The 16792-nt window shown below is 39.9% G+C and overlaps 1 protein-coding gene across 10 annotated transcripts in view; it reads left to right on the top strand.

The window, feature by feature from the left end:
* ADAMTS6 (ADAM metallopeptidase with thrombospondin type 1 motif 6) overlaps positions 1-15161 on the top strand; it is a 333183-nt gene extending 318022 nt beyond the window's left edge. For all 10 annotated transcript variants that reach the window (NR_135689.2, XM_011543117.3, NM_197941.4 and 7 more), the window contains one exon: positions 11954-15161. Coding sequence is in view for 9 of the 10 variants with exons in the window: in XM_011543117.3 (XP_011541419.1) it covers positions 11954-12063 (110 nt within the window). In the remaining variant the exon portion in view is untranslated. The remainder of the gene's footprint in view (positions 1-11953) is intronic.
* Positions 15162-16792: the final 1631 nt, after the last annotated feature.

The raw sequence follows: 16792 nt of genomic DNA, 5'->3' as shown, positions 1-16792 counted from the left end.
TAGGCATTCATTAGGAATTGCTTGAATGCTACTACGTGCGAGTCACTATGACAGAAATTATCAAGAATGTGAAGACAAACATGGCATAGTGCAGAAGTTTAGACTGCCTTCTCACATGAAAATACAGGCAGGGTCAAATATATGCACATGAACAACACCTGAAGCCGCAAATTTAAATTATAAGGCCCTGAAAAAACCTATCATTAATATATAGTCAAATAATTTGTTAATATTTTTCAAGTGAAAACTATATGTTTATAAACCTCTTCAAGAGAGATCTCTTTCTTTTGATCAACTCTGTCTAATTCAAAGGATTCTTAAAAATAATACTCACTATTTAAAAGTGTTTTCTTGGGAATTTTAAGAAAGTGATCTTGTATGACAAGATCCAGACACCTTGCATCTTTGCAAATGGTCTGTTTTTTTATACTTAAGCCTCAACACAATGCACTTATTATACACATAATTTACTCTTTCAAAATGTATAACCCTATGCTACATTAATTAAAAATCACAACTTTAAATTTTGCAGAATCTCTGGCTTTACTGCTACTTCTTTTTTGTCCCTTTAGATTCTGGAAATCTAGCTTTCCCTCTCTTGAGAAGGGCTCAAAATCCATAACAAACAAAAGTATTTTTCTTGGAAAAAAATTATCTTTTAAATTATCTTTAAAAAAAAAAATCTCTTAGCTGGGTGTGGTGGCTCACATCTGTAATCTCAGCACTTTCAGAGGGTTGAGTTGGGAGGATCACTTGAGCCCAGGAGTTCAAGACCATGCTGGGCAGCATAGTGAGACACTGTCTCTACAAAAAATAAAAAAGTTAGCTAGGCATGGTGGTATGTGGCTGTAGTCATAGCTCCTTGGGAGGCTGAGGCAGGAGGATCACTTGAACTCAGGAAGTTGAGGCTGCAGTGAGCCCTGATCATGCCACTGCACTCCAGCCAGGGCAACAGACTGAGACTCTGTCTCAGAAAAACCCCCCCAAAACAAAACAGAACAAAATCTGTCTTCTGTAAGACTCCAGCAAATGATTTCTTTTATCCATTGTAAGTTAGCAATAGATCACATGAGTTTGGGGTTCTCTTTTTCTTTCAGAATTGGAAGATACAAGGTTAAGGTAGGAGAGAGGATATAACTATCATATTAAATTATTCTGTGTTGGGTATTATGTTAGGCCCTTTATATATATTATCTGTCTTATATATCTCACATACACAAATAGATCTCTCTCTGCAAGTGTGTGTGTGTGTGTGTGTGTGTGTGTGTGTGTGTGTGTAGTATCTTATATAATCCTGACAACAAGCTTCTAAGAGTTGGTATTATTAATGAAGAAAGTGAGGCACAGGGGAAGATAGTGATTTGCCCAGTTTAAAGATTAGGAAGTAGTAGAGTCAGGATCTGAACCCACATTTGGTAGGGTCCAAGTACCTGTCCATTTCAACTATATTTGCATGCTATTCTTAATTTAGTCTTTAAAGTAGGGTATTTTGACATAAAAGCAAGAGTTTCTGATTTTGAAGTAAAACATTTCTGGCATGACTGTCAGCCTAATTCAATAGATTAAGCCTAAGTCATTGCTGAAAGAACTGCCTTTTGACATGCCTAAAACAATATATCTGTGGAAGTTATGCTCATACCTTCATTTCAGACAATTTTAATAATTTCTCCAAAATCTTCTCTATAATGCATAATCATTATAGATAAACTTTGCAGTTTATGTATAATAAGTTTCAAAACTATTTTCAGAGTAGGCAGAATATCATTTGTACCTGTGCTAATGTCTGCCTTAAGGGAATTGTCTTAAAATGGATACGTGTTAATTTGAGGTTTCTTGGGTTATTTGGAGAAACACCTCATGGTTATTTCATCTACCTGGCTAAATCGCTTTTTATTAATATTATTCTAAAGTAAGCAGTAAAAACAATATATTTAGACTTCTCAGTAAAGGAGGAAATTTTTAGGAAATTATTAATCCTGCAAAGTATGACTCATGTTAGAATCATTATTATCTAAAGCTGTCAACTCATTTAAAAGAAAGAAGATAACTCTCTTTACAAAATTAGATTTAAAGTACAAATGATACATCTGTCATAACTTGTTTTGTGTTCCCTTTAATTTCCCAATAGCATATATGGAATGCATTTAAATATCTGAAACTATTTGTTCATTTAATCAGCAGCTAATTACTGAATGCTTTCTGTGGCCAGCCTCTGCTATTTATTATGGAAAATTTAAATATATTTATAAGTTCATAGTCTTTCAGGGCAAATACTTAAATGAAAATTTTTTTAATTCAAAAAAATTTAAGAAAGGAAGGGGAAATGTGTTGTGTGGAGCAGTTTGCACAAGTGCTCAAATGAAGGACCAATGAGGTAACATTTTCCATCAAGGCAGGCTTCATAGACTAAGTAATCAGTAAGCCATCTATATAACACATAGTTGGAAAAACCCAGTGTGTACCTTGGGAAAAGTGAATAAAACATTATGAGCTGAATTACAAGTTTTAATCCATAGAGATATGGAATGGACGGATAACATAGATTTCAAAAGAGACAAGGAGGCCGGGCACGGTGGCTCACGCCTGCAATCTCAACATTTTGGGAGGCCAAGGGGAGAGGATTGCTTGAGCCCAGGAGTTTGACACCAGCCTGGGCAACATAGGGAGACACCTTCTCTACAAAAAATTTAAAAACTAGCTGGGTATGGTGGCACGCATCTGTAGTCCAGCTACTTGGGAGGCTTAGGTAGGAGGATCACTTGAGTTTGGGAGGTCGAGGTTGCAGTGAGCCATGATCACACCATTGCACTCCAGCCAGGGTGACAGAGTGAGACTCTGTCTCAAAATAAATAAATAAATAAAAAGAGAGAGAGAAGAGGTTCTAGTGTGAAAATAATGCAAACGTGGTCTGTTACGGTTTGTAGGAGGCAGATCAAGGAAGAAAAGAGGCCGGGCATGGTGGCTCACGCCTATAATCCCAGCACTTTGGGAGGCTGAGGTGGGTGGATCACATGAGATCAGGAGTTCAAGACCAGCCTGACCAACATGGAGAAACCCTGTCTCTACTAAAAATACAAAATTATCCGGGCATGGTGGCACATGCCTGTAATCCCAGCTACTTGGGAGGCTGAGGCAGGAGAATTGCTTGAATTTGGGAGGCAGAAGTTGCGGTCAGCTGAGATCACGCCATTGCACTCCAGCCTGGGCAACAAGAGCAAAACTCTGTCTCAAAAAAAAAAAAAAAATGGAGGAAAGAAATGCCTTTTAGCAAGGAAAAGTTAAGAAGAAAGTTGGAGGCCGGGCGCGGTGGCTCACGCCTGTAATCCCAGCACTTTGGGAGGGCGAGGCGGGCAGATCACGAGGTCAGGAGATTGAGACCATCCTGCCTAACATGGTGAAACCCCATCTCTACTAAAAACAAAAAATTAGCCGGGCGTGGTGGTGGGCACCTGTAGTCCCAGCTACTCGGGAGGCTGAGGCTGGAGAATGGCGTGAACCCGGGAGGCGGAGCTTGCAGTGAGCCGAGATTGCGCCACTGCACTCCAGCCTGGGCGACAGAGCGAGACTCCTCTCAAAAAAAAAAAAAAAAGAAAGTCGGAGAAGGAGCAGTTTCTGGTTAATGCAGGAGAGTGGAAGAGGTGGAAGAGGATCCCCTTTCCTCCAGCACAGTCAGATTCCCATGACTCATAGTACGAGGCTACTGAAAAACCACTTCAACTCTACCCCAAGACAGGGCAGGATTTGGGGAGACGTATTGAGATCTAAAATAGTCTTTCAGTTGAATCTCTATGAATTAAATGGGCCACAGATAGAATGTTGAGAATTGTTTTGACTACCAAGGTTTGGGTAATGGTCTCCCTCCTATCAGTATTTCATTATGAAAAAAATTAGAAGTTTCAAACATACAGCAAAGCTGAAAGAATTTTACAGTGAACATCCACCATCTAGATTATATTACTTTTAATGGCAAAAACTGAAATTACTTTTGCACCAAACCATAGCATTATCATTTACTGAACATGCTTTTTCATATATGTGCATATATCTGCCCATCCATTCCTCAAGCTTATGATTTTTTAAATAACATCCTACATTCATCCAATCATTAATTTATTTACTTAGCAAACATACTTACCATGTGCTAGGCACCAAGACTATGAACGCAATACAACAGGTTCCCTGTTCTCAAAGGTTTAGTAGGATTGGCAACATACAAATAATTTTGACAATATGAGCAGTACTGTTCCAGGCGTGGCAAGAAGTGACCATGAGTGCACAGAGGAGCAGGTAATCAGCAGAAGCATCACAGAGAAGGCAAGCTGAGCTGGACATGGAAGGTAGGAAACAGTTTACCCAGAAGACATTGAAATGCAGGGCATTCCTGACAGAGGACAAGTGTGTGCAGTCACAGGGGCATGGAGGCAGTTTGCTATCGCTGCGGTGGGTTGGGAGATGAGCAGGCAGTGCAGATGAGGCTACAGAGAGAGAGGCAGGGACTTGGTTTTGGAGACTCCACATGTAGTGGAAGGAAGCTAGGACTCTATCTTTGGGTTATAGGGAACAAGTGAAAAAAAACTGGGGTTTGATATGCTCAGGATGACAGAAGGGTAACGAAGCAGAGGGAGGGCAGCCTTGTGTGGGAGTAGAATGAGAAAGAATTTTTCTAAGAGTCCAGGCAAGAGAGGATGGAGGCGTGAACTAAGGCAGATATTGTAGGGATTAAAAGGAGAGTGATGAACTGGGGGGAAAATAATAAAATGAAAGGAGAATAAAAAGAGCCTGATGAACAGTTAGACATGGAGATGAGAGATATGGAGGCGTTCAGGATGACTCCCACATTTCAGATTTAGGTAACTGTGTACCATCATTAATCATGAAGGAATTCAGGCATCTGTAGGGAAATTAAACACATTAGTCCTCTGAAGCTTTAATAAGATAATGGAATTTGAATAAGATTAAAAAATAAAATAAATTGAGAGAGATTGAAGAAATGGAGGGAGGTCAAGCAACAAATGATAATAAGGAAATCAGAAGCAGGGTTTCAAAAAATTAAAATAGCAAGAGGGAAATGGGAGGAAGAAGAAGGGAGATACAATTTGCTGTGTTCAACATCTGCTTTAGTTTTTTGTTTCTGAAAGCCTTTGGCAAAGGGTTAAAACATTATAGGCATGATCTTGACAGACTGCCACTGATGAGGGTAACACTATGTTGCTGCTAAAAGTGAATTAAAGCCACCCTGGGTATCAGTACATTTGCAATACTACTCAGAGTAATTTTTTGAAGTACATATGTCAGTTGGGACTAACCTCCTCAAGCTCACCTGAAATTCTATCCAAAATGCCATTTTATTCATCTTTCATGCAGTTTCAAGTTCCCTTGTAGTTTATATAGTGAGTCTTTTCAGCTTCTCAATAGTACAAGGAACTCTGTCACAGAGTATTTATTGCTGTCAGGTCGTGATTCATGGTGTGCCATGGGCTGGTAACCAATCCAGGAAAGGTGTGGTTAGTGTACAATGGTTTACCAGCCCAGGATGTCTAATAGTGGCTTTGGTGGCTCTTAGACTCCCTCATGTAAATAGCTCTGGGAAAGCTTAGGCAGCTCCAGAAATCTCAAACCAAGAATTTTGGTCAAACTAGCTACTGCATTTGGGTTTTAATGTGGAACCTGATGTATTAAAATCAGTAAAGGAACGATAAAGGTCATTTGAAGGCTTTGGTTTCAAAGAGGTGAGGAAGGCCAGTTTTTTTCTTTACCACTTCAAAGAGTTCGTAATTCACTTAGCATGCAGGTTCACATTCCTGGCTGTCTGGTCTGGAGGGAACCCTGGATTTGGGTTGAGATTATACCACCTCCAGGTTGAATGTGGGTGGCATCCAGGGAATAAGACTAAATAAAAAGAAACTTGAGAAAGCAAAGAGAGAAAGGAATGGTCTAGTCTATGGGAAATTGAAATCAGTGTAAAGTTCGATAGCTGATATCATCTTGCTTCAAGGATAAAAATAAGCTGGTGTACTGTTCTGTTACAATGAATAATGTTAGGTTCCCAAGCAAAAGTTGCCATTTCATCCTTTTCTAGTCTGAATATGTAAAATGTCAAGGGGTCAAGTACAACTTTATTAGGAGAAGTACACTGAGTTCACATTCCCCACCCCAACTCCTGTGCCACGCATGCACAACCTTTGCTATCTCACTTCTCATCAGGTTCTGCATTTCCATGGGCAGTTTGTCAGAAGCACAGCTGTTTGTACTTTTTAAATCCAAAAGATAGACCTTTAGGTGCTTAAGTCATAACTCTTCACTTACTGTTTTCTTCTTCTGAACCACATAAGGAGTTTACAGAAACAGAGGGCATGCATTCTCCAAAGAGAGATGCTGATGGTCCAACCTGGTCATGAAGGGTATCTCCCAACTCCAGTGAGACAAGTAGGCAAGCTTTGTAACATTCAGTGACATAAATGCAAAAGCCCTGCATTTGAGGACTTGGTCTTGTATTTCTTGGACCAAATCAAGCCTTCAAAGTCACAATTAATCTGAATCTAATTGCATTCTAAATTCATAAACCTCTATTCAGTATATTTTGAAAGCAAGTCTTTTAGGTCAGAGTTTTGAAAGATTAATGTAAAGCACCTGGGGAAAAACTCATTGGCACATCAATGTTAAGTAGATTCATGTGTTGCCTATGAAACAGGTTGTCTAATTTTATCATTCAACTCTACCAAAACCCAGATTACCAATGAGAACCACTCCAGCATGCCTGGCAAATTACTTCAGATTCTAATAATGGATCCAGTTCACATTTCAGCGCCTAGGGGCTGGCTTTCAGCCCTTGATGTCTTCCCAAGTCTCTCTGAGAAGAATTTGGGAATTCTCCGTAAAGTCATTCCCACCAGAAGTCTCTAGTCCTGGGTAAAGTGTAACTTTTCTTTCAGGGGTGGAGTGGGGTGTAAAAAGAGGAGAGAATAATTAGGTTTACAAAATGTTAACTAGAAACCACAAGATAAGGACCTCTTACCTTTCCAATATCCTCACAGGAAAAGGGTAGAAAGGGTGTCTTGTCATTCTTCTCCTAGGAGAGTACTTAGCTGGTACATGATGATAGTCGAAGAGAAAATAAGCCTCCTTCATCTTAAAATCCTTGACCCACTGGCTTAGATTCCACTACTTAGAAAGCAGTAAGTAGATAGATATAAGTGTGTTTGCATGAAGAAAGTATGACAGTAAAGCTCAAACCTTCAAAACAAATTAACTACAGAGTGATTATAATACCAAAAAAACCTGAAACTAAGTAATTCTTTTGAATGGACCTCTTAGTATTATTTATTTGCTGCACATTATGCACTACTTGGGTATAGAGGAATTTTGAATTTTTAAACATTTTAAGTATCAGCTAGAAATCAATGCCAACTGTAAATCATTCAGAAATTAAAACAGAACATTTGTTATTGTTTTAATTTCAATGGGATATGTGATTTAACTTATATACAGCTTTTCCAGAATATTTTTGGTGGTGGTGGTGGTTTTTTTTTGGTGTTTTTTGTTTTTGTTTTTTTGGTTTTTTGTTTGTTTTGTTTTGTTTTCGTTTTTTTGTGTTTTTTTTAAACAATAGTAAGTTGTACTGCTCAAGGGTAGAAGAGAAAAGGCTTTCATAATTTCACTGGGCTTTAAGGATGAGGCAGATTAATGAAATAAGTTTTATAATTAAGGCCTCTCAACGACATCAGCATAATTGCAATGAGCACAGCAAATCAGTCCTCTCTAGCTAAGCTAAAAGTGGTAGATGGGTTGAATGCCCCAATATAATTTAAAACTGGTACTAATATTTTGAAGATTACTTTCAGTTTTCTGTAATAATGGGGCTTTAAAACTTCTTGGTGTGTCTAAAATCACCTTTTCACTTGTGTACTTTTACAAAATTTGAGGAGGAATATATAGTGACAAAAAGTATAAAGGGATAATTCAGGCTATTCTAAATAATTCAGATGCTATTCTGGAAACCTCCTTTTAAAAAACATAGATCCCCTTCTCTAAGGTGGAACAGCAAACTCTTAAAGAAACGAAACCTGACTATGATGCTCCAAGTTGATTTATCAGTGTTGTCAGCCAAGAATACAGAGTCAGAGACAGGTAGAAACTTCTTGCGTTTAGATGCTAAGAATATTGCTGAAATAGAATGGCTCTGGAGTCAGATAAACCTGTTCTTAGACCAACTAGCTGTGTGACCCAGCATGAGTTTCATAATCTTTTTGAGCTTATGTTTTGCTGTCTATATAAAGCTGACATTTTATATACGGTCATGGACTGTATAATGATGTTTTGGTCAACAACAGACTACATATACAAAGGTGGTCCTATAAGATTATAATACTATATTTTTACTGGATCTTTTCTATGTTATATATTTAGATACACAAATACTTACCACTGTGTTCCAACTGCCTACAATATTCAGTATAGTAATATGCTGTGCAGGTTTGTAGCCCAGGAGCAATAGGCTATACCATGTAGCCCAGGTGTACAATAGGCTATACCATCTAGGTTTGTGAAAGTACACTCTAAGATGTTTGCACATTGACAAAATCACCTAACAATGCATTTCTCAGAGAATATCCCCATCATTGAGCAACACATGACTGAACTTAAAAGGATTAACATATATATATAATATATGTTTATGTTGTGCCTTACACAAATGATATGCTTGATAAATTATAATTTTTAATGCTGTCACTACTAAATTAAGCTCTTGTGGAGTTAAAAGAGAATAAAAGATGAGTCGTGGTTGGTGAATAGATTTTCATCAAATCTAAAGATGTAATGAACTGATTCTTCTAGTCAGGCCAGTTCCTAGAAGGCAAAACCAAGAAGTAGGAACCGGATCTTCCATACAGCCTAGGAATCTCCATATTAATGTTTGAGTCCTGAAGTCTCCAGATCTCCCACAGGTCTTTCCCCACTCCTGCCCTCATCATAATTTTCTTGCTTTCTGTTTAATAGCTTTCTGATATTTTGCTTAAATGCGTAAATGTGTAACCCTTTCTGAGACTATATTTATTTTGACAGGGATCCCAGAGAAATAATACATGATAGTTGTTCTCAGAGGCAGATGTTTTGCTGTTAATAATGAGAACTAATGAACAATGCTTACTCTGAGCCAGGTGCCATGGCACATGCATTATCTGTATTACCTCATGCAAACCTCACAACATCCTATGAGCAGACCTTATCATAGTCTTTATTTTGGAGATGAAGTATCTGAGATTTAGAGAGGTGAAGTAACTTGGCAGAGGACAATCAACTCCTAGAAGAGGCAGAGCCAGAATTCACCCCCAGGCCCACCTGAATCCAGATCTCCTGCCCCTAACTACTGGGTTGTGTTGCCGCTGCAGGCAACTCAGGGGACACTCATAATCCCAACGTCCCTAAGCTTGATCCTGTTCCCAGAACCTACGGACTTCCTGCTTCCAATCAAGTTAAGTGGGAACTAACTTAACAAGGGTATTGGGAAGTTCAGAAAGGAACATCCTGATAGCTGGCCTCCAGCCTGCCCACAGGCTAGATACTGCCTCTGAACAAAAGGCTGTGTTCTGGGCCTCTGCATGTAGAGAAGAGTCTTATTTCTAGCACTCATCTAAGGAACAAAATCCCTGACTATTCATATTTGAGTTTTTTGTTTGTTTGTTTGTTTTTTGAGACGGAGTCTAGCTCTGTCGCCCAGGCTGGAGTGAAGTAGCACAATCTCAGCTCACTGCAACCTCCGCCTCCCGGGTTCAAGTGATTCTTGTGTCTCAGCCTCCTGAGTAGCTGGGACTACAGGTGTGTGCCACCACACCTGGCTAATTTTTGTATTTTTAGTATAAATGCGGTTTCACCATGTTGGCTAGGCTGGTCTCATGCTCCTGACCTCAGGTGATCCACCCACCTCAGCCTCCCAAAGTGCTGAGATTACAAACGTGAGCCACTGTGCCCGGCCAACTATTTATAATAGCCTTAATGGGTGGGTGGGTAGGCAGGTGAAGGGAGAAGCAATTTATGAATATTCTATTTCATTCATTATGTATTATAATTTAAACTGGTGAATTTACTTCTAATTTGCTCAACTCAGAGTTTTCTTGGTCCAGCTACTCTTCTAAAAATGGAGTAGTAAATCTAATGAAGTTGTTCCCCAGGAAATACTCCACTTTGTTTTGTCTGCAAACTGACTTGTGTCTTTAGGGCAGTATTTTCTTAGTAGTAGTTCAAATATTGCATCCTCATTGAGATATTTGGAGAGTAACTCCTTGCTTCCTTTCTGTCAGGCAATAAAGATACTAATAACTAATAATTGTAATAATAATAGCAATTCAGTATCCTACACTTATCCCATACTTCCTGTGTTCCAGGCACTGCTGTAGTTGACGTTCGTAAGGATACACGTGTAGTCTTACATGTTACACGTTGAGTGTGGGTTCTCTAATCATTTCTGTTTTACAGATGAGAAAACTTAAGCACAAAGAGGTTAAGTGATTTGTCCCTCTTCTACCTTCTTCCAGCTAAAACTTAAATTTACTGAGAATCCTGGTGTGAAAAGTTTTAATTCATATTTCTAGCTATTAATCTCTTTGTAAGTGAAATGTTGAGTAAGGGAGCTGGGTGGTGGCAGAGATGTTTTCAGTGGATTTGGGAGTTCCAGTTTCAAATTTTAAGACTTTCACCAAAGGAGCCTTTAAAAATTGAGATCAATAAGATTGTTATCTTCATATTCAATAATAAGAACTGGGAACTTTTCCATGTCTTTGTACTTAATTTTCCATGTTTATCATATGGCTCATGTGATAAACTACAATGTATCTGATCTCTTAGAACTTCAGTGGGTTTTTGAAGCCAGGAAAAAACAAGCAAACAACAAAAACTGTCTGTAACACTGAACATTACCCACTGCCCAGCCTGATTCCTAATTACCTTCAACAATTTACCCAGGATGCTTCAGTATAACTACCTGGAAAAATGAGGGTGGAACTTTGGTTCTAGCAGGCATGTGAAAATTTCATTACTAAGTTTACAGAGTATCCTAAAGTCTCCAAACAAAAGTGACCAGAATACTGGAAAAGAATATTATTGCTAGCAGTGGGGTTGTATGGAGCCAGGGGGAGTTCTGAGAATCAAAGGCCCATGTCCCTTTCTCTACACTGGACCCTCATCCCACCTTCTGCAACCAGCCTCAAGGGGAGATGGAGAAAGAATCATTTATTCACCTTCTGGCTGCAAGAACTGCAGACTGCAACTGTGGCAGTTCTAGCACTGAGGAGAAAATACACATAGGAAAAAAGAAGACCATGTCTCACTTCCAAATTAAAAAAAGACATTTCTACATGTTTCCATAACCCACAGACTGCTGCCATTTGAGGCCAACCCCTCAAAGCTTTCTTCTTTGTCTAGTGTAGTTGCTGAATCTAGGCCACTCTCAGCAATCCTTTTCATTCACCCAGGCCCATCCCCACGCCTCACAGATGCAGAGATTCTCTGGAGACGTGTACTTTGGTATCAAACAATGCAACTCATGTTTGATTTTGGATAACCTTGCACTGTTGAATAAAATAACCCTTGAGAAAGAAGCAATAAAAGTGCTGTAAGAAAAATGACTCATGTTTCCAAGCTGTCTAAAGTGATCACTTATCCTAGCAAATGGTAATTCTTTCAAGACACAGTGGGCATACACCATACTTATAAAAATCTGGAAGGAAAGCCTTGCAAACATTTTTTTAAATTGTGTTAAAATATATCAAAAGAATATTTCTAGTAGACTGTACCAGGCAGGGTATGCTTAAAAACAAAAACAAAAACCACATGGAGGTCGAAGCCAAGGTGGATTGGCCCAAAGGGGGTCCTTGCTGAACATGCAGGCCCATCGGCTTGTTTATGTACTTGTTTATGTGCCTCTAATTGTTTTCCATTTTCTGCCCCCATTCGTTAGAGTGCAAAGATGTGAATAAAGTGGCTTATTGCCCACTGGTGCTGAAGTTCAAGTTCTGCAGTCGAGCATACTTCAGACAGATGTGTTGTAAGACCTGCCAAGGACACTGACCCACAGAAAGCCAGAGAGAGTGCCTTGTCATTTCATCATGGAAATGCATCCATCAAAGAGAGCCACCCAGAGGAAGAGGATTGATGTCCTTGCAAATGCATTACCCTGTGGAAAACGTAACCACTGGTCAGCCCTAGCTGACAAAATTTCAATATTATTTTAGCTTCTGTGAAGTGGGATTTATTGATCCAAAGTGCTGGACACGGTATTAGGAGGGAATGCCAGATTGGAGAGATCCAAACAACACAGGGAGACTTGCTTACTGTGGAGCGTTTGTGTTCTTTCGAGTAAATCCAATAGCCTGTTTACCTCCTTGGACCATTAAGATAATTTTTATTATGGACTTAGCAATGACACTGAATCCATTTGTATTTAAAACTGTTTAAAATGTAGCTGTTATGACTTGGTCAACTATGGAAGTGAAGAAGGTTCAGAATTCTTAAGTCATAGCTTAAAAATATTTACTGTACTTTATCTCACTACAACAGCACCACAATTTAAATTATAAAACGGGCTTTGAACTATAATTTAAGGAGCAATTATAAATCAAAAGTAATGAAAGTTTGTATTATTTTTCTTCATTCCACTTAATTTCCTTAGGAATAATCCCCTGGTTCTGAACACTGCTGTGAGCCATATATAAAACTATATTAAACTGAACAATAATGAGGGGCATAGTTTAAAGCAGTGCATCAGTTACTGCAGCTGTGCAAGTCTATAAACTCAGTGCTGAAAGACTGTGGCCAACTTGCCATTGTGCAAGTAAAGCTGAGATTTCCATTAAAACTTTAAGAGAAAAACATTTCAATTTCATGCAGAAACCAGACCTGGGGTATGGTACAGACCAAAGGACCAGGCCCTTTGCTGCCACCACACAGGATGCCTTAGTTCTTATTTGAGTCCCTCCAACTCACTTGTGTTTACATCCTCCCCAGCCACAGCACGGCTTCTGCCCTTTGGATTGCTGCACGTGTGTTGAGCTTACTGAGATGATACCATGCAAAAGATAGACTGGCTCGGTAACCAGGCAGACCCTTTTGCAGTTTGTTGACAATTACGATGAGTTCCAGATGTCCCTTCTTTGATATGGTAGAAGGGCATTTATTTATATGAGAGCAAATGTGTGTGTGTGTTTGCGGGCGCTTTTAAGTGTGTGGATAGATGAGTGTGCTTGCACATAATGTGCTATTTCTGTGAGTTTTAAAGTAGGCAAGGGATAATAACCAAAGAAGAAAATTTCATGAAGACTAGACATCATAAAGCATAATTTTAATAGTCACTCAACCAAGTATTTTTTATTTTTTATGGATACTCTGAATGGCAATTAAATGTGAAACCCAGTTTCTTGGGCAAGTCAAATTCTGGAATCACATCCACCTAAATTAAAATGACTAGCTCGTATTTTCCCCATCTTCAAGTTTCACATCCTGGTCATCAAAAGACTCGACAGCAAGACTTAGAATGAAAAAGGGTACTTGTTTATATTAATATTTTTTACTTGAACACGTGTAGCTTGCAGCAGGTTCTTGATGAATGTGCTTTGTGTCCAAAATGCCTCCCCATTGTACACAGGTGTACACCATGCATGCACCAACACCTAAAACTCAAAACTAAATGGCTATTTTGTAAGGTTAATACTTTCAGTTAAACAGCATGTTTGACTTGATTCCATCATGGTGCTCTTAAATTACATGTCAGTGCATCACATATATCATGATCTAATGCAGATGACTAGGCTTTTTCCAAAAGGAAGACAGACCCTCAGACACCAAAAGCCAATCTAAACAACTCCCAGGTTTGCTGTGGACAATCAGCATGGAATGTTTTCTGCACTCTCAGTCATGACCATCTGTATCTTGTTACCTGCTTTCTCTCTCAACACCACAGTTCTCAACCCTGAGCCTTCCAGAGAGAGCTATTGATGATACAAGAGGAATCACCAGGGCCCGGATCTAAGATGCCCTTAGAAGACCAGCCCAAGTGCCGTCTTAGCCATTCAGTGAAGGGCAAACAGCCCATGGGTAGTATGGCCCGAGCACTGAATTCCCTTGCGCCTTTTCAAAGAACAGTTAACTTGGTGCTAATGTGCCCTGGTGAAATAAATAAAAGATGGGCAGTTTCTGTGGCATTTTAGGCATAGGTTTGCAATCCAGATCTGATTTTCTCCAACATAAATATCAGCTCATGTTCTTATTTCAAAAAGATTTCTTATTACCGACTAAAAGCTATTTTTTACCTCACCTGGAAACTACCATTGTGAGGGCCATCCCCCAGGCACTGCACAGCACCTTGGCTGATGCTGGAAGAGGAGGGCAGTCAGTGTCACTTCTGGGATGTGCCCCAGCACTGAGAACAAAATGCAGGCATCCCCCGGGGCAGCATCAGAGTGCCTTTCTAGAGGGAGCCACGCACAGAATGTAACAGGATGAAACAGTTTCAAGTAAGCCTTGAATTGAAACCTGAGTAGGTTAAAACAATTCTATTTCATAGCACATCACAATACTGCTGCTACTCTGTAGCCACCCCCATGGCTACATGATGCCCTATTCCTAAATAATAACAATAGCATTGTCAGTGGAGGCTGGGCCACCATGGCAGACCTTCCAAAAGTAGTGAGCTACATAGACTACTTAGGGAACCCCAGGGAAACTGGTACCCTACACCTGGGAGCAGTATCTGCCACTGGGATAAAGTCCTACTAAAAAAGGAACGGTAAATGTACCCTAATGATTAAACCCCGTGAGATACATATGATTTCCAAATAGTCCATTTCATTAGGAACTTTTTTGTTTGAATGAATGTCACATAGGTATCCTCAGTAACACAGAACGAAATTACCTTTGTATTATTGTGATTAGTTGTTGCTTATTATTTTATACTCAGTAATAATGTGGTACACTGTTAATTTTTTTGCTTTTGTAAATTATATTCTAATTTATTGCCATGTTTCCTAACACTTGTCCTACATTCATTCTCCTGCTTGTAATGAAAATGAAAAAATCATTGTAACACTTGATGGAGTGAAATTCCACGCCAGGCACAGAATTTTTTTGACATAGATAATTTAGTAAAATAAAAATTCAGCTTATAATAATGATACAGATTGAAGTTGTCTATTCCCTGAAAAGCCTGTGTTAAACTGGTAGTACCAGGAATGAATTCCCTTGGGATACCACACCTACATTATCCAAATTATCCAAGTAGTATCTTGGTTGGGATGATTTGCTGTATCCTTATTACCCTCCTCAGAGATGGCATCTATTTCTGTGTGTTTTAGTCCTATCTAAATGCAAGAGTGTCAGGTATTACTGGTGGGGCTACATCCCCAGCCATCATCAGCCACTCTTCTAAGGCCCCAAAGGAAGTCCAGACTGGCCACGGCCACACCCCCTCAACTGCTAGTGCACAACTCTTTCGCTTTCCTTTCCTTTTTTTTTTTTTTTTTTTTGAGACGGAGTCTCACTCTGTCGCCCAGGCTGGAATGCAGTGGCGCGATCTCGGCTCACTGCAAGCTCCGCCTCCCGGGTTCACGCCATTCTCCTGCCTCAGCCTCCCGAGTAGCTGGGACTACAGGCGCCCGCAACCACGCCCAGCTAATTTTTTGTGTTTTTAGTAGAGATGGGGTTTCACCGTGTTAGCCAGGATGGTCTCGATCTCCTGACCTCCTGATCTGCCCGCCTCGGCCTCCGAAAGTGCTGGGAATACAGGCATGAGCCACCGTGCCCGGCCCTGCTCTCCTTTTCTTGCCTTCCATGTAAATTATTTAGTATATTAGAGGATGCAAGATAGTTCACTGTGCCAAGGTCACTAAACCAAATGAATTCATACTTGAGAGATTTTTCTAGTCAGGGCAAAGAAACGTGATGAGCTCACTTTCTACCTTTAGCATTTCCTTTTGGGCTGAAGATGAACTAATGGCTCAGTCTTTGCTGAGTTGAGGAATACAATGATATGCAAAGGAACTCAGAAAAAAATTTGAATATGAAGGTGACCCTCTTGCATGCTTAGCTATTCGAGTACTTTATTTTCTTTTTCTTTACTTTCTTTCTTTTCTTTCTTTCTTTTTTTTTTTTTTTTTAGATGGAGTCTCACTCTGTCGCCAGGCTGGAGTACAGTGGCGCGATCTTGGCTCACTGCAACCTCTGCCTCCCAGGTTCAAGCGATTCTCCTGCCTCAGCCTCCTGAGTAGCTGGGATTACAGGCACACGCCACCACGCCCAGCTAGTTTTTGTATTTTTAGTAGAGACAGGGTTTCACCATGTTGGCCAGGATGGTCTCGATCTCTTGACCTCATGATCTGCCCACCTCGGCCTCCCAATGTGCTGGGATTACAGGCATGAGCCACCACTCCCAGCCAGCTATTGGAGTACTTTCATAATGACAGCTTCATCAGTTACATAAGAAGAGTGGAATTGGCTGGGTGCAGTAGCTTATGCCTGTAATCTCAGCACTGTAGGAGGCCAAGGCAGGTGGATCACCTGAGGCCAGGAGTTGGAGACCAGCCTGGGCAACATTGTGAGACATCATCTCTACCAAAAAAAAAAAAAAAAAGATGTGAAATGTCCAGGCTCGATGGTGCTTTATTCTACCCACTCTGATGTCTCATACACACCATACCCAGTTGTTTCTTCATTAGAAGAAATCAGGTTGCATCACGTGAGACAATTAGATAGTCTTAGAAGAGTATTTCTCCAAGGTTACCCTAGCAGCCAAAAGCTGCTGAATTAT

This window comes from Homo sapiens, chromosome 5, assembly GCF_000001405.40.
Source record: "Homo sapiens chromosome 5, GRCh38.p14 Primary Assembly".
NCBI classification, from domain to species: Eukaryota; Metazoa; Chordata; class Mammalia; order Primates; family Hominidae; genus Homo; species Homo sapiens.
The sequence above is the reverse complement of the archived record's forward strand: the minus strand, read 5'-3'. Positions and strand labels throughout refer to the sequence as shown.